The 20418-nt window shown below is 51.2% G+C and overlaps 8 annotated features.

The window, feature by feature from the left end:
* Nucleotides 4301-4800: an enhancer, noted in NCBI's record as "H3K4me1 hESC enhancer chr17:75855307-75855806 (GRCh37/hg19 assembly coordinates)". NCBI's record gives its function as "activates a minimal SCP1, AML or CMV promoter by ChIP-STARR-seq in naive H9 embryonic stem cells {active_cell/tissue: H9 hESC(naive)}" and the evidence as "EXISTENCE:reporter gene assay evidence [ECO:0000049][PMID:30033119]".
* Nucleotides 4801-5302: an enhancer, noted in NCBI's record as "H3K4me1 hESC enhancer chr17:75854805-75855306 (GRCh37/hg19 assembly coordinates)". NCBI's record gives its function as "activates a minimal SCP1, AML or CMV promoter by ChIP-STARR-seq in naive H9 embryonic stem cells {active_cell/tissue: H9 hESC(naive)}" and the evidence as "EXISTENCE:reporter gene assay evidence [ECO:0000049][PMID:30033119]".
* Nucleotides 6845-7344: an enhancer, noted in NCBI's record as "H3K4me1 hESC enhancer chr17:75852763-75853262 (GRCh37/hg19 assembly coordinates)". NCBI's record gives its function as "activates a minimal SCP1, AML or CMV promoter by ChIP-STARR-seq in naive H9 embryonic stem cells {active_cell/tissue: H9 hESC(naive)}" and the evidence as "EXISTENCE:reporter gene assay evidence [ECO:0000049][PMID:30033119]".
* Nucleotides 11216-11821: an enhancer, noted in NCBI's record as "H3K4me1 hESC enhancer chr17:75848286-75848891 (GRCh37/hg19 assembly coordinates)". NCBI's record gives its function as "activates a minimal SCP1, AML or CMV promoter by ChIP-STARR-seq in primed H9 embryonic stem cells {active_cell/tissue: H9 hESC(primed)}" and the evidence as "EXISTENCE:reporter gene assay evidence [ECO:0000049][PMID:30033119]".
* Nucleotides 16623-17272: an enhancer, noted in NCBI's record as "H3K27ac-H3K4me1 hESC enhancer chr17:75842835-75843484 (GRCh37/hg19 assembly coordinates)". NCBI's record gives its function as "activates a minimal SCP1, AML or CMV promoter by ChIP-STARR-seq in primed H9 embryonic stem cells {active_cell/tissue: H9 hESC(primed)}" and the evidence as "EXISTENCE:reporter gene assay evidence [ECO:0000049][PMID:30033119]".
* Nucleotides 17273-17920: an enhancer, noted in NCBI's record as "H3K27ac-H3K4me1 hESC enhancer chr17:75842187-75842834 (GRCh37/hg19 assembly coordinates)". NCBI's record gives its function as "activates a minimal SCP1, AML or CMV promoter by ChIP-STARR-seq in primed H9 embryonic stem cells {active_cell/tissue: H9 hESC(primed)}" and the evidence as "EXISTENCE:reporter gene assay evidence [ECO:0000049][PMID:30033119]".
* Nucleotides 17921-18570: an enhancer, noted in NCBI's record as "H3K4me1 hESC enhancer chr17:75841537-75842186 (GRCh37/hg19 assembly coordinates)". NCBI's record gives its function as "activates a minimal SCP1, AML or CMV promoter by ChIP-STARR-seq in naive H9 embryonic stem cells {active_cell/tissue: H9 hESC(naive)}" and the evidence as "EXISTENCE:reporter gene assay evidence [ECO:0000049][PMID:30033119]".
* Nucleotides 20190-20289: a silencer, noted in NCBI's record as "silent region_9036". NCBI's record gives its function as "represses an Ori minimal core promoter by ATAC-STARR-seq in GM12878 lymphoblastoid cells {active_cell/tissue: GM12878}" and the evidence as "EXISTENCE:reporter gene assay evidence [ECO:0000049][PMID:35858748]".

Genomic DNA, 20418 nt, shown 5'->3' with positions numbered 1-20418 from the left:
AGTGGCTGCTTTCTGTCACTGCACTCAGCGAGGCTGGCGGCTCTGCCGGCTCCCCGTCCCCAGGGCCCTCCCCTCTCTCACATGCTTTAATGTCTTCTCTTCCTGAAGGGCGGAGAAGAGAGGTCAGCCTTGACCACAGCATGAAGATAGCAGGAAGTGTATGAGCAGCTGTTGGTGGTGGAGACTTCAGGAGGGAGGAGGTGGCTTTTCATATTTACCAAGGGCTCATTCTCCCTTCCATGTCATTGGGGCGTGAGCTAGTTCCATTGTAAACTTGTCTGGTGGTGGAGTGAGAGGCTGGAGCTCAGAGCCTTGGGAGCCTCCTGCCGCTGCCTTGCTGTGTGTCTCGGGGCAGGTTGCTTCCCCTCTCTGGGCTCACCAGCAACCAGATTCAGACGGTCTAGAGGACTGATGAGTGTTCCCCTGGTTCTTCCAGGGGACAGCCCATTCTTGGGGGACATGGGCAGCCCCAGAAGGAAACTTGTTCCTTGAGCTTTGATACATATCCTGAGATCTGAACCTGGGAACTGCAGGTGGAGGCCAAGGGAAAAACCCAGTGAGCCCAGGGTGGGGTGTGCAACGGCATCCAAGGACGTGGAGCAAGAAGACAAGGCATAGACCAGGCCTGAGCCAGGGCCTCGAGTTCCCTTAGCCTTACCTCAAGGCGGGCTGAACTGCAGCCTAGTGACTGGGGCTGGAAGCTGGCATTGAGCCCATGCCATCCATTCGTCACGGTTTGCTGTAAATAGAATCATATTGTTCACTATTTAGTACACTGTAAATAAAATGGCAGCAATATCTTCATTATTAACAACTTGGGCACGGTGCTAGTGACTGTATGTGTCTTCCCATTCACTCTTCACAATAATGCAATGAGGTGGTATTGACATTATCGTCATTCTATAGACTGAAGATATCAGGGCACAGAGAGGTTAAGTGACTTGTCCAAAGTCACACAGCTACTAAGTGGCAGAACAGGATTTGAACCCAGGCCTATACTGTCTTTTAATAAAAATAGTGAAAAAAAGACCTGAAGGAATATTCACTAGATAGCTCTCCATTAGGACGCTGTCGGGGAGGCTGAGCTGGTAAGCCCAGCTGGCTACAGCTAGTTGTCCCCAAAGAGATCACTTGAGCTTCACACCTGGAGAAAGGAGAAATCTGCCCACCTAGCCCTGGCTCTTCCCTCTCCAGCATCTGGCCTGGGCCTGGCCGGCAGGCTTCCAAAAAGAATGTTTAACTTTACCCAAGGACTCGCTCCAGGGTTTCCTTTGCAGAAGGACCTGGACCTTCAGTCATTAAAGGGATTTAATTTTCAAGCTGAGACATGAGTGTGAACATTTCAGATACAAGCTTTCGTGTGTGTGAAGAAAGAGATGCATGGATCAGTAGAGGTGAGTGGGGTGCCAGAGGATGGGCCAGACAGCAGGGACAGGCTCCAGAGAGGAGAGAGGAGAGTTGTGACTAGAGAGTGGGCGCCTCTTTGTGTTTGTGTGTGTGTGTGTGTGTGCTTGCAGGCACGTGTGTGTGTTCATGTCTGCAGGTGCATGTGCACATTGGTGTGCATATGTGCATGCACTGGTGTGTGTGTGTGTGTGTATGTGCACATGTGTGGTGGCTTTCTGTTGTCGATGCGGAGGAGGTTGGGGGGTTGCAAGGTTGCAGCACTGTCCAAGGCCATGTGGCCGTGTAGTGGCAGAACAAAGCACACGGGGTCTGTGGCACATGGGAGCCAAAAGCACAAATAAATAAAGCAAGCAGTCCAGGCTGCAAATAGATGCAAGCCCGAGGAGCCCCCAGGTGGCTGCCAGCTCCCTCCCCGAGTGGAGCCCTGGCCCTGGACTCGGGGAGGAAGAGGCCCACCCCAACCTTCATGCAGGGCCAGGGCCTGGGCCGGGACCTGGAGCCCTTCTCGGAGAAAATCCTTTCTTAGCTAGCTGCTGCCTACTGCATTGATTCCACCACCATTCAACTCTCTTCTACTTTCTGTGGCCGGTAGGCCTGGCCTCTAAGCCTTTCCACGGCTTAGGGCAGAAGGTGGTTTGCTCTGGCGACTGCTGAGGTTTTCTGGGTTCCTCCTATTCCCCAGTTGGCCTCCACTTCCCATCTCCAAGGTGTGGGCAGAGACACTAGGGTAAGCAGGGACACCAGGACTCTGGACAGCTGCTGGGTGGTTTTAGTGCCTGTGGAAATTTCATGTGGAGCCTTCCTGAAGTATTGAACCAGTCTTTCCTCACCCTCTTGCTTAACCCCTTTCTCTGCAGTTCCAGGGAGTATCTTGAGCAAAGGGTCCATCCACCCATCCATATGCCCTTCCTTGCTTCTATCCGTCCACCCATTCATTCATCTGTCCATCCATCCATCCATCCATCCATCCATCCATCCATCTTTCCTTCCTTCCTTCTATCCATTAACCCACTCATCCATCCATCTGTCCTTTTATTCATTTACAAATGGACATCCTTCCATGTTTTCTTCCATCCTTCCTTCCATCCAGCCACCCATCTCCACCCATTTACCCACCGATCCATCTATTCATCCATATTTCCTTCCTTCCTTCTACTCACACACCCATTCATTCATCCACCCATTGACCCATCTACCCACCCATCTATCAATCCATATTTTCTTCCTCCCTTCCTTCTATCCACTCATCCATTCATTAACCTGTTCATCCATCCACCCATCCACTCTTTCTTCTCTTCCTTCCTTCTGTCCATCCACCCACTCATCAATCTGTCCATTTATCCATCTACTCATCTATCTGTATTTCCTTCCTTTCTTTCATCTACCCACCCACCCATCCTCCACTCATTCACCCATCCATCCATTCACCCACCCATCCTCCATCCATTCATCCATCCATCCATCCATTCATCCATCCATCCATCCATCCATCCATCCATCCACCTTTCACCCATTTATTCATTCATCTGCCCGTCCATCCACCCATTGACCAATTGATTGATTGTTCTGTAAAGCATTGATGCTACCTGGTGAAGTGTTCACCTGGTTCCCATCCCCACTTTGCTTGCTCTTTGATGTAGGACACAGATCCAGGCAAAGACAATTCTGAGAGAGCAGAGCTGTAGGAGGAAAAGTGCCAGCTCTGTGGGAGCTCAGTGCAAGGGCTCCATGCTGAGGGGCATTTGCTTCTCAACTCCTGCGTGCTGGTCACGGTGGGATAGCGCTAAAGGGGACTGTGCTATCTGACCGCGTTGCCTACCCAACTCCATTGTATGTGTGTGGGCAAGTACTTCACCAGTGTGAGTTGCCTTAGAAGCAAACGGAGAATGCATGAGGCAACAGGACATAATCGCGATAATGAGAAAAATAATGGGATGGTCATCACTTACTGAGTGCCTACCGTGTGCTGGCATCACACCAAACACCAGGCCCAGATTCTTTCGTTTAATTCTCTCAACAATCCCATTTTACAGAAGAGGAAGTGGAAATTCAGAGGAATTAAGGTAATTGCTCTGATCTGAGGTCAGAGCCTGGGAGAGTTCGGGTTCTACCACTGTCACAAGCTGTGTGACCTTGGCCAAGGCTTTTAACTGCTCTGAACAGCAATTTCTTTATCAAAAAAGAAGGATTTGCCATGGAATTGTGGCTCTTCATCGTTTCAAGCCCGTGAACTGCATTTTAATGCCAACCCTTCGAGGATCTCTTCACGTGCCGGCACTTTTATTTTTAGGTTCCATTGGTTGAGAAAACTCACAATGACAAAAAGCTACTTTGAATTCAGTAGTGGTTTAAAATCAATTTGTATTTGATTATTTGCAACTGCATGCATATACATTTGAAAAATAACCCTGAGATGGGCATTATTTATTCAGGCTACACATGCAGGATGGGTGTGTGGATCCTGGTCTGTGCATTAAGACTCTGTAGCCTCCCAGGGGTCAGGCCCACATGCCCTTGTCCCTTCCAGATCTACATTCTATATTCAATAATGTGGCCAGCTCCTGCTTCCCCATCCCCTTGGATATCAATGAGAGAAGACAGAAACAGATAGGACAACGAACAGAGAGACTCTGATGGAGGTTGACTGTGATGCCAACAAGACAGAAGGAGGAAGGGAGAGGGTCTGCAGTAACCCCCCGCCCCCCCCGCCACCTCAATGGGCTCCACAATGAGGCTAGTTCCTCAAGAGTCCATTGCCCAGAAGCAGATGGCACAGCCAAGCAGAACACGGCGTCAGATGCTGGCCACCCCTGTTTCAGGTGAAGGTCTCCATCATGAGTATCTTTTGCTCATCAAAGATTGTAATTAGTCCAGGCTGAGAACTGGAGGTGCCAATGTGGGGTGGGGTGGGAGAGATTGCTGGGGGGATCCCACCAGCCATTCTGAGGGGAGATGGCTGCAGCTGGTGCTGGGCTAGGGGAAAGAACAGGACAGTGCTGACCAGGCATTGGGGGTGACAGGGGCCCTGGGGAGTCTGACCGATTCTGCCCAGGGCTGACTGGTACCACTGATCCAGCAAGCTAAGTTCTTGAGGGGCTCTTTCTGGATGGAGGTACCCAAGAGGAAGGCGTGGTGGTGGTGCTGGGGCTTTGTACCACGGGACCACTCTGGCATTTGCCAGTTTCCTCCTAGATTCCAAAACAGAAAACACAGAAGGCTGGGAATCACGACAGACTTTCAATTTGTCATTCCCTTCTGGGCTTAGATTTGGGTTAAGTGCAGACATTAGCATTCTGGCCTCCCTGGGGAATGGGAAGCAGAGCTTGTCCTGCCTCCCTCTCCCTCTCTTCCAAGGTCTCCTTTTCCTGCCTCCCTGCTGGCACAGGGGGCTCAGCTCATGACGCAACTGCAGGCAAAGGAGGCTCTGGTGGGGTCTCGACTGCTGGCTCTCCCTTGAGCCCGGGGAGGCTGCCTGTGGCCAGCAGCATGGCTGCTTGCCCAGGGGAGACAGACTGGGCTTGCACTGCTGGTTTCAGCCTTTTGAAAGTTGCTAGTGAGCTGGAGTTGGACTTTGGGTCTTGCAGACCATTTGTTGAATGATTTCAGGATCATACAAACACTCCAATAAAGGAGGTTACAGTTTGGATTTTACTGTGTGCCGTGTTAGCATCCAGATACTTCCAAGCAGCTGGCCGTTCCTCCCACCCCATCTAGATGAGCTCCCGTAATGTTTTCCCTCACAGCTCCTGGTTCTTTTTCTTCAAGCATGTCTCACAGTTTGCAGTTACTTGGCCCGTGTATTTGTGTGTCACTCTCCCCACTGGGGGTGAGTGCCATCAGGAAAGGATTCATACCCATGGCTCTCCAAAGTCACAGCTTATGGACTGGATGGATGTATGGTTGGTTGGATGGAAGGATGGATGGATGGAAGGATGGATGGATGGATGGATGGGTGGATGGATGGATGGGTGGATGGGTGGATGGATGGATGGGTGGATGGGTGGATGGAAGGATGGATGGATGGGTGGAAGGATGGATGGATGGATGGGTGGATGGATGGATGGATGGGTGGATGGGTGGATGGGTGGATGGATGGGTGGATGGATAGATAGATGGGTGAGTGGGTGTGTGGATAGGTGTTTGGATTGATGGGTGGTTGGTGAGTGGGTAGATGGGTGGGTTGATGTTTGAATGGATAGATGGATGAATGGATGGGTGGAAGGATGGGTGAATGGATAGTTGCATGGATAGATGAGTGGGTGGGTGAACGGAAGATGTAGTGGAAAAATGAATGAATGGTTGGATGACTGGATAGTTGGATGAGGGGTGGGTGGGTGGGTGGATGGGTGGACAGGTGGTTGGATGGATAAATGAGTGGGTGGGCAGATGGGAGGGGTGATGGAAGAATGGAGGGATGGTTGAATGAGTGGATGAATGGATGAGGGGTAAGTGATTTGCTTGAGTGATAGAAAGCAGTGGAAGTGATACTTTGCGACTGCTGAGGTGAGGGTGGAAAAGCCTTCTGGCTTCTGCCTGTGTCCGCTGCCTGGAAGACAATTAGACATCACCTCTCAATAAGAGGAGAGTCCAAGACTTGGCAGCCATTTTTAACCCACCACACCAAGTAGCTATTCATCCAGATTGGCTTGAAAAAGATGGAGTCCTTGGGAATCTATTGGACCTTGAAATCTATCAGACCTTGAAATCTATCCTCCACATGTAATTCCCTTCCTTCACATGTCAGCCCACTGAAATTATGTTTATGTTAGGCAAGTTATGTTATGCAGATCAAACGCCCCCAGTCTTCCAAGCCTTTGGGGATGAGTCACAGTCACGTGTACAGCCAACTGTGCAGGTGTGTTTATCTTTATCTGTGTTAGCGCAGAACCTGGGCCTCAGTCAGTTTGTGTTCTCTCCCCTTCCACCATCCACTGGGGGCCCTCACATGCCCTTGATGGTCAGCCCTGACCTCTTCCCATCACTCCTGGCTGCCACCTTGGTGTCATAATGGGTGGCCTGGACCTCAATCCTTGCCTGATTTCTTTGGAGGGATGGGGAAACCATCCACCCCTCGCTGTTCTGTGGTCTTGGGGGCCCCATCCTAGGCTGCCTGAGCTCTGGAGGACAGCAGGGAGGAGTGCAGGAGGCTCACCTGGCCCCACACTCATCACTTTTCTTTCCAGGACAGGCCGAGAGGGTGCAGGTACTTGTCCTTGAGCCCTGTGACTCCATTATCTCAGGGAACCAGAATCCTCCCCTCAGGGGCCCCATCCCTCCCTGGCATCGTGTTCTCCAGTCTTCACAGATGTGCCCGTGGGTGCCCCTAGCCAGGTCCAGACGTGGCCCACGTTCTCCTCCTGGAAGTCTACTCAGCCTCCTTGTAAACAGGACCTAAGAAAACAGATGCAGGAAGACTTTTGCACCTCAGCTCAGCCCAGCTGGGACCCAGGGACCTCAAAAGCCCCTTCTCTGCAAAGCTCCCGTCCATCCCCCACCATCACCAACACCCCCTCCCCAGCCCCCAACAAGGCTTCCTCAGAGTTTGCCAGGTCCTCTGGTGATGTGTGCACACGTCAGTCACCCCACGAAAGGAAGTGAGGTCGTAGGGGTGAGGAGATGCATCTTAGTCTCAGCACAGTGCCCTCCAAAGTGACCCAAGAAAGGTGGCCCCACAAGGAGGAAGGAGGTGGGAGATGCGTTTTGCAATTCAAGATATGGGTAAAACTCATTACAAATCAAAAGTCTGGTGTGCACACACGCTGTGCGGCTTGTAGAACAGCCAGGTTCAGTTCTCCCTGCCGTCTGCTGCATGGGAGTAGCCTGGTCTCCTGGAGACCGTTTCTAAGACCTTGCATGCAAGACACGGCATCAGCCCCACACCCGCAGGGCTAATACACAGCAGAGGTGGGAGTCAGGCCCCGGGGGCCTGGCACGAGCAACTGCACCAAACCACTGGGTCGCACTGCCTGTGATGGAGGAAAGCGGGGGCTCCAGCAAGCCCACCCACACCCACACTCCACCCTGGAGCCAGGCGCCTGCAGTGCTGCGTTTCTCACCTTCCTGACTCTGGGGAGGAGGGGCAGCTGGGGAGCCATGCTGACCTCCTGGACATGAACTGGGAAAAGGTTATTTGTTTTTGTTTTTTTAATTTTTTTTTTCTTTTTTGAGACGGAGTCTCGCTCTGTTGCCCAGACTGGAGTACAGTGGCGTGATCTTGGCTCACAGCAACCTCTGCCTCCTGGCTTCAAGCAATTCTCCTGCCTCAGCCTCCCAAGTAGCTGGGATTACAGGTAAGTGCCACCACGCCTGGCTAAGTTTTTTGTATTTTTAGTAGAGACGGGGTTTTCCCATGTTGGTCAGGCTGGTCTTGAACTCCTGACCTCAAGTGATCTGCCTGTGTCAGCCTCCCACAGTGCTGGGATTATAGGCAGGATCCACCGCACCTGGATGAAGAGGCCTCTTTTTCTGGTGGCTTCTGTCCCACTGGCTGGGTGGCCATGGGGAAACCAGAAGTCCGATTCAGACTTAGGCTCTGGGAGTGCTCACCCGGCCTTCGGACCCCAGGACATATGCCAGCCACGGATATAAGGTTGAGAAATTATCCGGCCCAAGTGGTGAAGTTCAAAGTTGAGAAAATTGAGGTCCCAAGAGGGGAAGTCATTACATTAGGGCTTCCCAAGAACAGACCCAGAACTGGAATCCGTACCTCCCGACTCCCTGATGCTTCCAGAGAAGAAGTGGGGTGTACATATAAATAAAGAGAGGGGTGAAACCAACAAGAAAATGACACGTTCTGTTGGCTCCCTGAATGCCAGTCGCACCTTGCCTCACCTCAACCCCATCAGCTGCCTCTAGTCTTCATCAACCCTCACCTCTTAGAGGTTCCCCTAGCTGGGCTTATCTTCCTAACCTGGACCCCCAGGAAGAGTCCCTGGGATGTCAGTGTCTCTAGAGAGGCCCATGGGTACCGTGTTGGGAGGCCCGTTGACTGTCCCTTTGACATTATTCACTCATTCATTCATTCAGCACCTACTTCTTAAACACTTGCTGTGCGCCAGGCCCTGTGATCTCCTCCAGGATGGAGAGGCAAACCGGGCTGAGGTGGTCCCTGCCCTTGTGATGCTGAAAGTCCACAGGGGACACAGGCTTTCAAACAAGCACGAGAGTTCCTTATGATAAGGGAGAGGCGGTTCTCATCTTCCTGGAAGAGCTGATGCTCATGACGAGAAGTGAAGGATGAGTAGGGGATGGCAGAGACATCTGCAGGTGCCAAGCCCGGGAAAGGAGAGAATGTGGCCTATGGGGTCCTGAGCGTCTAGAGGGAGGACACAGAGGGAGCCGTGGCATCGAGGAGGCTGCCGAGGTGAACAGGCCCATGAGGACAGGGAGGAACCCCTGGAGGATCCTGGGGCTGTGTCAGGAGGGCCTTAGAGGCCGCATTGGACCTCGCTCTACCCTGTCCCTGGCAGGTGGATGTGAGTCCACCCAGGTATTCGCAGCACTGCAGGGCTCACTCCTTGACGAGGTGGCCTTTCCCTGCCCATCGGCTCTGTTAGTTCCTAGCAGGTTCCTGCTGTCAGGCTAAAGCCTGCTCCTGCTTCCCGATGTGCCACCACTGCGCCCAGGGTTCTGGGGCCACAGAACTCATCTCATCCCTCCCTTGGCTGCTGTCCAAGTTTCTGAAGGCCAAACACCACCCCTATAAATCTTTTTGTTTCTTAGATCAAACTCAACCAGCTCTGCCTTCCACACCTCCTATTAACAGGATGTACTACATAGCAGGCAGGCACCTTTGAGGGTGATGGCCCAGCCTCCCATAGTGCTGGGGGCCCACGTTTTAACTACCACCCCCTTAACCCATGTTGGTTCTGTGGGACCTCCCCCACCACCCCGGCCACAACTGCCCAGGAACTGGGCCCAGATCGGCCCATCAACTCCGTTCTCTTTGGGACCACTGTTATGACCCAGCCATTGGGTGAGGGCGGTCCCAGGGGGAAGTTGCTGAAGGCAGCCACCTTCTGCTGAGGGGGGCGGGAGTGGAGGGTGGGGGTGGGAGAAGGGGCAGTGCCTGGGTGTCGGGCCTTTGCTAGCTCCGCAGCTACCCTCCCTCAGGGCCAGCGCATCTCTGCCCCAGGGCACTGCTCCGCCCCACCCCCTGGCTGAAGCTGGGGTTCCCTTCCTTGCAGGCAAAGCTCTCCCAGCGCCTTCTCCTTTCCCTCCCTGTCCTTACCTCCCTCTCCTCTCCTCGGCACCAACTGGGTGAACTCAGCTTGCTAGGATCTCTTTTGAAATAAGGTGCCTGCAGCAGAGGCCAGGGGAGGGGCTCCTGCAGGTGCAGGGGGAAGAAGATTGTCTTGGAGATTCTGCTGCTTCTACGAGTGAGCCTTGGCCAGGGCAGGCTCTCTGGGCTTCAGAGCCAAGCCCTGGGACAGGAAATGTTCCTGTCGATGTTGCCCCCCTGCAGAGGGTGCCCACCTGCGGCCAAGGGTTATGGCTGGGGTTGCAGGCCTTTTCCCCTCAGTCACTTCCCTGCAGCCCCAAGCCTGGGGAGCTTCTTTAGTTTCTGAGAAAGTTCCTCTCCCGGTTGTTAAAGAGTCCTTTAAGGCAGCCACCATCTTGCCCAGGAGCCTATGATTAGGATGTTACTATTATTTTCGTTATTGCGATGTATGATAACAATGAACACAACTTCTGCTGAGAACCCACAAAAGCCCTGGCTGGGAGAAAGCCCACGGGGACACTTCTCCAGGACTGAAGAGGGCTCGTCCCACCACCCCTCGCAGCCCGGGGATCTCCAGGGCCACACATTGGCTTCATTGAGCCCAGGTCCCATGGAGCTGTAGACTGTTGGGGTGGGGACAGTCCTTGTCACCTGGAATAATCTGTTCCTTTGAGGAGAGGGCCATGGGGCCTAGCGAGGGAAGGGATGTACCCAGGGGCATGGTGTGAGGCAGCTGCAGGGCCTGGACCAGAGATCCGCAGACTCCAATTCCGGGCTCCAACCCTGGGCTCCAATCCGGGTTGCTGGGCTCCCTGGTGTTTCCTCTCCCAGGAGGGCTGGGGGTCTTAGACCAGAGATGTGGGCCAGTGGAAGAGGACGGCCCTCGCCAGGGCAGGCCATGGCCCTTCTCGCTGGACTCTTACCTTCGCCTGTCTCTTCTGCCCAGGCCAGCCAGGGTCATGCTGATGATGTGGCAGGTGTGGCCTGGGCTTTGGGTCCAGTTCCTGGAAAGGGCCAGCCAGAGGCTTGACAGGGAGGCTCCGAGGCCAGGGCTTGGCTGGGAACGTTTGGAGTCTGGGGGACTCCTCCATCAGGGAGCGTCAGCCATCATCACAGCTGGCTGATCTGGCACGGGTGTGGCTAGGTCCTTCCCTAAGGCCCCATTCCCAGAGCGTCGATGGCACAGCTTTGAGACCAGACAGCTGCATTTCTATCAGGCAAGGGCGGGCGTTCGGCTGAATGCCCATGCTTGCCTGCTCATTTTTAGGTGTCATTAAGGGAACAATCCCTGAAAAAGGCAGTGGGCAACCCCCTCCTGGGCGGCCCAGTCAGCACCTGGCCTGGGCCATGCATGATTTAGGTGCTGTGTCTGCTCGCAGGGAACACTCGCCTGATTGTCAGCCACAGGGCGCCCTCCTCCTCGCCTCGCCTTGGCAGCAGCACTCTGGGCTTGGGGGCACGGAGGTGAGGCACTCCCTCTGTGTGACCAGGGCAGGAGCCAGGCTGCCCGCGGTGCAGGGCCCCCCTCCACCCCAGCTCCTGCCCACGCCGCGGCTCTGCCCTGCCGCCTCTCTGCCTCCACCAGCCGGGAGCTCAGTCGGCACATGCGCTAGTGCTTTACCCTCCTGAGTCTTTCATGGTGCTCTAGAATATTGTTCAAGCATATGCGACGGGGTCACTGCAGGGCTGCGTGCTCCAGCAGCAGGGTCGGGAAACAGAGCAGGCAGAGGTGGCGAAGGTGGGGGTGGGGGCCTGAGAGAGGTCGCGGAGGAGGCACAGACCTGAGTCCCAGCCTCAGCTGGTGAAGGACCAGGGCAGCTTCAAGAAGCAGGCGGAATCTCCCAGCAGTGGGCACTGCTGCTGGCCGTGTGCACACACATGCATGTGAGCGGAAGCGCACACACACAAAAACACACACACAAACACACAAACACACGCTTGTGCACACACATAAACACATATACAAATAAACACACATAAACACATGCACACACACAAAACACACACACATACACAGAACACAAACACATGCTCGCAAACACAAACACATGAAACTCGCAAACACACATAAACACACACACATAAACACACACAAACATATGCACACACACACAAACGCATGCACACACAAACACACACAGAACGCACAGAAACACACAAACACACACACATAAACACACAGACACACACAGATGCACATGCACACATAAACGCACACACATGCATGCACAAACATGCACACACATACATAAACACACAGACACACTCACATGCACAGACACACAGATGCATATGCACACATAAACACATGCACACACACACGCACACACACAAACACATACACACACCTAAACACACACACACAGACACACACAGATGCACAGGCACACATACACACATGCACACACACATGCACACACACACAAACACATGCACACACAGACACACAAGCATGCACACAAGCACACACGAACACACACAGACACATAAACACACACATACGCATGCACGGCATCAGGAGGGGTCTATGGATAGTCCTGGCTCAGAGAGAGGTGGAGACAGAAGAAGAGGGGCCCAGATGGAACAGGAGGAAAGCAGGACAGTGGGCAGGAGGATGGCGGGAGGCCCTGGAGGAACAGAGAGAGCTGAGAAGGAACACGGAGGAGAAGGCAGAGGCCCTGGCTGCAGCCCCTGTCCTCCTGTTCAAGCCCATTTCAGGGGCTTTTGTCATGTGGCAATCCAAGTTCTCCCCACTCCCCATGCTCCTACCCCATGAGAACATAGACAAGGCCACTGACGCCTGACCCCCAGACATGGTCCCCTGGCCTGACAGAGATGAGCCGTGTGGGCCTTTCCCCAAATCGACAACAAACGTGTCCATCAAACCCACCTTGCACTGATGCTCACAGAGAACAGAGAAGGAGGGATGCCTCTCGGCTCCTTTTATGAGGCAGTTTAACCCTGATACACAGACCTTCCGACCGAAACGTTGAGAAAAGAAAAGAAAATTACAGGTGGGCCTCACTCATGAATATGAGTGCAATCGTCCTAAGACAAACACTGGCAACTCCAACCAAACAACATGCAGAAAGTGAACACGTCACAACCAAGTTGAGTTTATTCCAGGAAGGGAGAGGTGGTTTAATAATGGAGAGCCTATCAGTGTAAGTCACTGCATTAACTGAATAAAGGAGAAGCCTCACCTTGAGAGAGTCTGAGAGGGCATTTGTAATCCACATCCATATCTATGATATGTCTATGTCCGTATCCATATTTATATCCATATCCATATCCATATCTACATCCATATCCATATCCAGTCTATACATATTTATATCTATATCCACAACCATAGCTATATCCACATCCATATCCATATCTATATCCACATCCATATCCATATCTATATCCATATCTATATCTATATCCACATCTATATCCATATCTATATCTATATCCACATCTATATCCATAGCCAATCTATCCATATCTATATCCATATCTATATCTATATCCACATCTATATCCATATCCAATCTATCCATATCTATATCCATATCTATATCTATATCCATATCCATATCCTTATCAATATCTACATCCATATCTATATCCATATCCACATCTATATCCATATTCACATCTATATCCATATCCAATCTATCCATATCTATATCCATATCTATATCCATATCTATATCTATATCCATATCTATATCCTTATCAATATCTACATCCATATCTATATCCATATCCACATCCATATCCATATCCACATCCATATCCATTTCCAATCTATCCATATCTATATCCATGTCTATATCCATATCCATATCTATATCCATATCCATATTCAACCTATCCATATCTATATCCATATCCACATCTATAGCCATATCCACATCTATATCCATATCTAATCTATCCATATCTATATCCATATCTATATCCTTATCAATATCTACATCCATATCTATATCCATATCCACATCCATATCCATTTCCAATCTATCCATATCTATATCCATGTCTATATCCATATCTATATCCATATCCATATTCAACCTATCCATATCTATATCCATATCCACATCTATATCCATATCCAATCTATCCATATCTATATCCATATCTATATCTATATCCACATCTATATCCATATCCAATCTATCCATATCTATATCCATATCTATATCCTTATCAATATCTACATCCATATCTACATCCATATCCACATCTATATCCATATTCACATCTATATCCATATCCAATCTATCCATATCTATATCCATATCTATATCCATATCTATATCCTTATCAATATCTACATCCATATCTATATCCATATCCACATCTATATCCATATTCACATCTATATCCATATCCAATCTATCCATATCTATATCCATATCTATATCTATATCCATATCTATATCCTTATCAATATCTACATCCATATCTATATCCATATCCACATCTATATCCATATCCACATCCATATCCATTTTCAATCTATCCATATCTATATCCATGTCTATATCCATATCCATATCTATATCCATATCCATATTCAACCTATCCATATCTATATCCGTATCCACATCTATAGCCATATCCACATCTATATCCATATCCAATCTATCCATATCTATATCCTTATCAATATCTACATCCATATCTATATCCATATCCACATCTATATCTATATCCACATCCATATCCATTTCCAATCTATCCATATCTATATCCATGTCTATATCCATATCTATATCCATATCCATATCTATATCCATATCCATATCTATGTCTATACTCATATCTATGTCTATGTTTAGTGCCCGGAATATATAAAGAACTTCAGTATGAAAGGACAGCTGAGCCCCCACGTTTACTGCAGCACTATTCACGGTAGCCAAGAGATGAGATCAACCTCAGTGTTCATCAAGGACGCTGGATAAGGGAAATGTGGTTCATATGCCCAGTGGAATATTATTCAGCCACGAAAAGAATGAAATCCTATCATGTGCAGCAACATGGATGGAACCGGAGGTCATAATATTAAGTGAAATTAGCCAGGCACAGAAAGACAGATACTGCATGTTCTTATATGTGGGAGCTAAAAAAATGGATCTCATGGCAGTAGAGAGTAGAACAGTGGTTCCCAGAGGCTGGGAAGGGTAGGGAGTTGGAAAGAAGATGAAGAGAGGTTGGTTAATGGGTACAAAAATACAGTTAGATAGAAGGAATGTGTTCTAGTGTTCAATAGCATGGTAGGGTGACTATGGATATCAATAATTTGTAGTGTATTTCAAAATAGCTAGAAGATTCAGAATGTTCCTAACAAAAGGAAATGGTAAATGTTTGAAGGGATACATGTCCTAAAATCCCAATTTGATCATTACAGATTGTATGCATGTACCAATATATCACATATACCCCATAAATACGTACAATTATTATGTGTCTATTAAAAACCCAAAGTAAAAAAAGAAGGTGATGGCGTAGAAAAAGGTGCTCAACCACATTAGTCATCACAGAAATACAAATTACAATCACAGCATTACACCGAATCCAAGAGAGTGGTTCAAAAGAAAAAGACATCCCAGATGTTGGTGCCGAGGGGCAGCTTGGGGCCTCCCACAATGGTGGAGGGAGGGTGAATTGGTACGACCACTTGAGAAAGCTGGCAGGACCTACTGCAGCCAAACACATGTCCACCCAACAGCCCAGTAATTCCCTTCCCAGGCATTTCGCAAAGGAAACGTGTGCAAATGTTCACCAGGAGACTGCTCATGACAGCACCGTAATAGCCCAGACTGAAAACCGAGCCAAGCATCCATCCACAGAGGCATATGGATATATGGATGGTGCTTTGTTCATGAGATGGGCTGGGCTACAGCAGTGAGAGGAAGGAGCTATGACGTCATGTGGTGAGGCTCAGACTCCACGTGGGAGGAGAGAGGCCAGATGCAAGAGCGTACCTGTCGTGTAATTCCAAAGGAGGCCAGATTAACCTCTGGCGTTAGTAGTCAAGGTCGTCGTTGTCTTGGGGGTATTAATGACAGGAAGAGGTAGAAGAGGACTCGGGAGCTGGCAGTATTTTCTTCTTGATCTGAGAGCTGAGGACATGAAGGTACTCACTTTGTGAAAGTCCAAATGGAGTTGGACACATAGTGTTAGACTTTTCTTTATTCATACTGTACTGCAAGAGAAAGTTAACTTAAAAGAAGCTGATGCAACAGGGACCCCCAAGAAGAAGGTCTTGAGCCCAGTTGGGGGCGCTTACTCCGGGCTTGCATTCGTGCACTGTGAGGCTGAAAGTGGGACAGAGACCACATGGTTTTCAGAAGGTCGTCACAGCCATGGACATCCCAGCCACGGACTTCAGAGAGCGCCATGCTTCCGAACGCTCACTCTCTGAGAAGACACAGCACGGGGTATGGAGGGTCTGGGCAGATGACTTGTCCAAGGCCGCTCACAGGGAAGACCAGAGCTCAGCATCCCAGAGAACCCTGCCCAGTGCTCATTCTGAGATCTCGTCCCTGTGTGACTGGTGGCTCTGCCTGGGGACAGCGGCTATTTTCTTCCCTCTACTGGTGGACTTTGGAGCCTCCATCGTTCCTGGTCTGGGGTCCTGATGACTTGCCCACCTCCAGGCTGTCCTTGACCTGCCAGTCAAGTGGATGAAACATGTCAGTGCTACATCAGATCCCCACCCACTGAGAGCCTGGGGCCTGGGTGACCCCTGCAGAGCCAGACCAACTCAAAGGAAAAGAGCAACACAGTCCTAGGAGGCTGCTGTGGCAGGAACAGGGGAGTGGAGGCAAAAGGGGAAGCCTTGCCACCTCAAAGACCGGGGAGGGAGGGACTCAACAGTCTTGGGCAGAGTCCTGGGTCCACCCCTCGAGATCCTGTTCAAGTAGGCCGGGGAGGGTGGGAGCCCAGGACTGCTTTTCGCCAAATGCCGCAGGTGAGTCTTGGGCAGGTGGGCTTCCTGCACAGCTGGAGGCAAGCCTGGGAGAAGGGCTCTCGGCCGGCCCTGCCTGAGGTTTCTTTATCGCGTCCCTGATGCCATCAGAGGGGCAGTGCTTGGGGGTGGCCAGAGGCAGAGTTTTGGGACGGGAGGAGGCTCTGCCACTCACTGGCTGAGTTCCTTGGGCAAGCTGGGCCTTTCAGATCTTCAGTCTCCCCATATGGTAGGGCCTCCTCTCAAGGCTTCTTTGGGGATAGGAGTGAGTCTGCAGCAAGCAGCTGCCCACCCCACTGCACTCCACTTGCTGAGAGGGAGACAGGAAGCTGCTTTCCCATCCAGCGATGATCACAGCTCCATCCTGGACCTGCAAGGTGCAGATGTGTGAAGACCACGTGGGTGCTTGACCACCTGTGGCATTTGCAAAGCAGTGAGAAGAGTGAGGCTGTCCATGCCAGGCTGTCTGGCTGGTCCCCAGAGGCCACACCCACAGGTTGCCTGGAACTGGGGGCTCCTTACTTATCTCTGCCCCCAAGCTCTGGGTGTTCCTCCCCTTCCTGCCTTGCTGCTACCCTGAGACTTCCCCACCCCATGCCCAGCCTGCGGTAGACAGTCCAGGCCTTCACACACCCCATCCCCAGGGCCTTCTCTCTTCCCTCTGATTAACAGTAGCAGGGCCTGAGCCACAAGTGGGAGGCCCCAGAGGAGGAGGTGGAATGTGAGTGTGGTAGAACCTTCCAGGCCCCCCCACCCACAGGAAACACCTGGCCTCCAGGGCGCTGGCTTCACATAGGAGCCCAGAGGAAGCCCAGGACTTCAGGGCCAGCACCTGCCAGGAAGTCCTGGGTGCCAGGGGCTCTGTGGGGAAGGAGGGCCAGTCGGCCCAGGTGGCTCATGGTAGGTCACTGGGGAGGGTGTGACAGAGCTGTCCTGTGGCTGTGCTGGGAAAGAAGGGACCATATGGATTCACGGTGGGGAAAGGGGGCCGGAGGCAGGAGCACCCAGGCCCTGGGTGGTCAACAAATGTGCAGGCAGGAGGGTCCTGGCTGAAGCTGAGGGCACTACTTCTGGCTTTCATGGAACCTTCTGGGACTGTACTGAGCCCCCTCCTGACCCCAGGGGTCTATAATGAATTTGCCTGTTCCAAGATGACCTGTGCGAGGGAATTGCAGCCTCTTCAGGGTGACAAGTGCCAGCCACCCCTGTGGGGTTTCATAGGAGGAGCTGATGGCTGCCCTGACGGTCACTATGCAGTCCCCGGCACCTTGTCCACCCCACTGGGCTGGGGCTCCTCCACCTTGAAGCCCCATGTGTCTGTGGATGAGACCAGCTTCTTGGCTTTTTTCCGCCCAGTCCTTCCCTGACCCTCGGGATGGAGGTGCGAAGAGAGACCCCACAGCTGAATGGTGAGAGCTGCAGCCGTGTCCAGAGTCCACCCTTAGCCTGTGACACCTTCCCTGCAGCCCCGGGAAGCAGAGAGGCCCAGTCCCACCCAGGGGGCCACCTGCGGGCAGCTCTGCGGATTCTCTCCCCACCTGTTTCTCTAGTGTGTCTTGACAGACAGAGGAGACAGACGGCCCCTCCTCAGCTCCCCAGCTGCCAGGGGCTCTGAGTAAAATGCAGTGCCTCTTCCCGCAGGCCTTCTGGGGACAGTGAACTTACCTTCCTACCAAGGGTCATTTCGACAGGAGACAGGAATGATTCTCCGGCCCCAGAGAGGAGCTGCCCCCACGGTCAGGCTCCGACTGACTGAGCTGAGCGAAGGCTAGAAAAACAAGAAGGAAGAGCCCCCCGACACCCTGCAGGGCAGGCCCGTGAGGTGGGGGCTGACTGAGAGGAAAAGGGGGGGCATAGGAAGACATAGCCCTGAGACGTCCTTAGAGGGGCAAAGCAGCGGCCTCAGGAGGTGACCTGCTTGGCTGCTTGGGTCTTGTCCTCCCTGGGTTTTTCTTATCTTTTCTTTTCTTCCTTTCCCTTCGGTTCTCTCTCTCTCTCTCTCTCTCTTTTTTTTTTTTTTTTTTTTTTTTTTGTGAGATGGGGTCTCGCTCTGCCACCCAGGCTGGAGTGCAGTGGCACAATCTCGGCTCACTGCAACCTCCACCTCCTGGGTTGAAGTGATTCTCCCACCTCAGCCTCCTGAGTAGCTGGGATTACAGGGGTCCGTCACCACACCCAGCTAATTTTTGTGTTTTTAGTAGAGACGGGGTTTCGCCATGTTGGCCAGGCTGGTCTCGAACTCCTGACCTCAGTGATCTGCCCACATTGGCCTCCCAAAGTGCTGGGATTACAGGTGCGAGCCACCATGCTTGGCCTCCCTGGGTTTTTCTGAGTAATTTTATGAGGCAGTTTGCAGCAGTCTGGTGGGGAGAATGGCAAATACCCCCCAGTGCCGTTCACTGGACTTGCCCAGTGGAAGAGGGTGGGTGACCAGCACAGGGTGGTGGTCGGGGAAGCCTGACCCCGGTGACAAGCAAATGGCGAGTGGACAAGTAGAGAGAGCCTTTGGAGAAGCATGGGGAGGCAGGCCTGAGCTAGGGGGGACTAGCAGCGACACAGGCTCCAGCGGTCACGGAAGGCGGGCTGGTGGGTGTCCTATGCTCCGGGGCCGGCTCTGTGTTCATCAGTTGTGTGACCTGAAGTACAGGTTTTGTTTTTGTTGTTTTTGGTAAATCAAGGTGAAGCTCACAGCTCAAAATGAGCCGTTTTTAAGTGTACAATTCCTGGCATTTAGTATATTCAATGTTGTGCAGCCACTACTTCTGCAAGTTCCCAAACCTTGGCATCACCCAAGAGGAAACCTCGTACCCAGTGGCAGTCAGTCCTCCTTCCTCCTCCTCCAGCCCCTGGAAGCCACCAATCTGCGTTGTTTGCATGCATTGCCTCCTCTGAACAATTAATAAAAATGTAATCAGTACTTTGGGAGGCTGAGGCGGGCGGATCACCTGAGATCAGGAGTTCAAGACCAGCCTGGCCAACACGGTGAAGCCCCCTCTCTACTAAAACATACAAAAATTAGCTGGAGGTGGTGGCGAATGCCTGTAATCCCAGCTACTTGGGAGGCTCACGCAGAATGGCTTGAACCTGGGAGGCAGAGGTTGCAGTGAGCCGAGATCGTGCCGCTGCACTCCAGCCTGAGTGATAGAATGACACTGACTCCATCTCAAAAAAAAAAAAAAAAAAAATGCAATCAGGTTAAATGGGAGCTTTTGCCTGTGGCCTGTGGCCTCTCTCACTGAGCTTTATGTTCTTAGGCTTCATTCATCTAAGAGCTTCATTCCTCTTTAAGGAATCATATTCCGGTGTATGGATGGACCAAAATTCATTTGTCCATTCATTGTTTGATGGACATCTGGGTTGTTTCCACCTTTTGGCTGGCATGAATAATGCTGCTATGAACGTGTGTGCACATGTATTTGTTTGAGTGTCTATTTTCAGGTTTTTCTGGCTATATTCATAGGAGTGGAATTGTGGATTATATAGCAATTTTATGATTAACTTTTTGAGGAATCACCAAATTGTTTTCCACAGTGGCTGAAACATTTTACATTTCCACCAGCAATGTGTAAGTGTTCTAATTTCTCTATAACCTCACCAACGCTTATTTTCAGTTTTAAAACAAAATTATAGCTGTTGTCGAGCGTGTGAAGTGGCACCTCAACCTCATTGTGGTTTTGATTTGCATTTGCCTGATGACTAATGCTGGTGAGCGTCTTTTCGTGGGCTTCTTGGCCACTGGTATGTCTTCTCTGGAGAAATGTCTACTTACGTCCTTTGCTTGCCCCTTTTTTGATCAGATTCCCAGGCAGGTTTTTTTTTTTTT

This window comes from Homo sapiens, chromosome 17 (assembly GCF_000001405.40).
Source record: "Homo sapiens chromosome 17, GRCh38.p14 Primary Assembly".
In the NCBI taxonomy this organism is placed as follows: Eukaryota; Metazoa; Chordata; class Mammalia; order Primates; family Hominidae; genus Homo; species Homo sapiens.
Note: the sequence above shows the minus strand (reverse complement) of the source record. Positions and strands in the feature narration are given on the sequence as shown.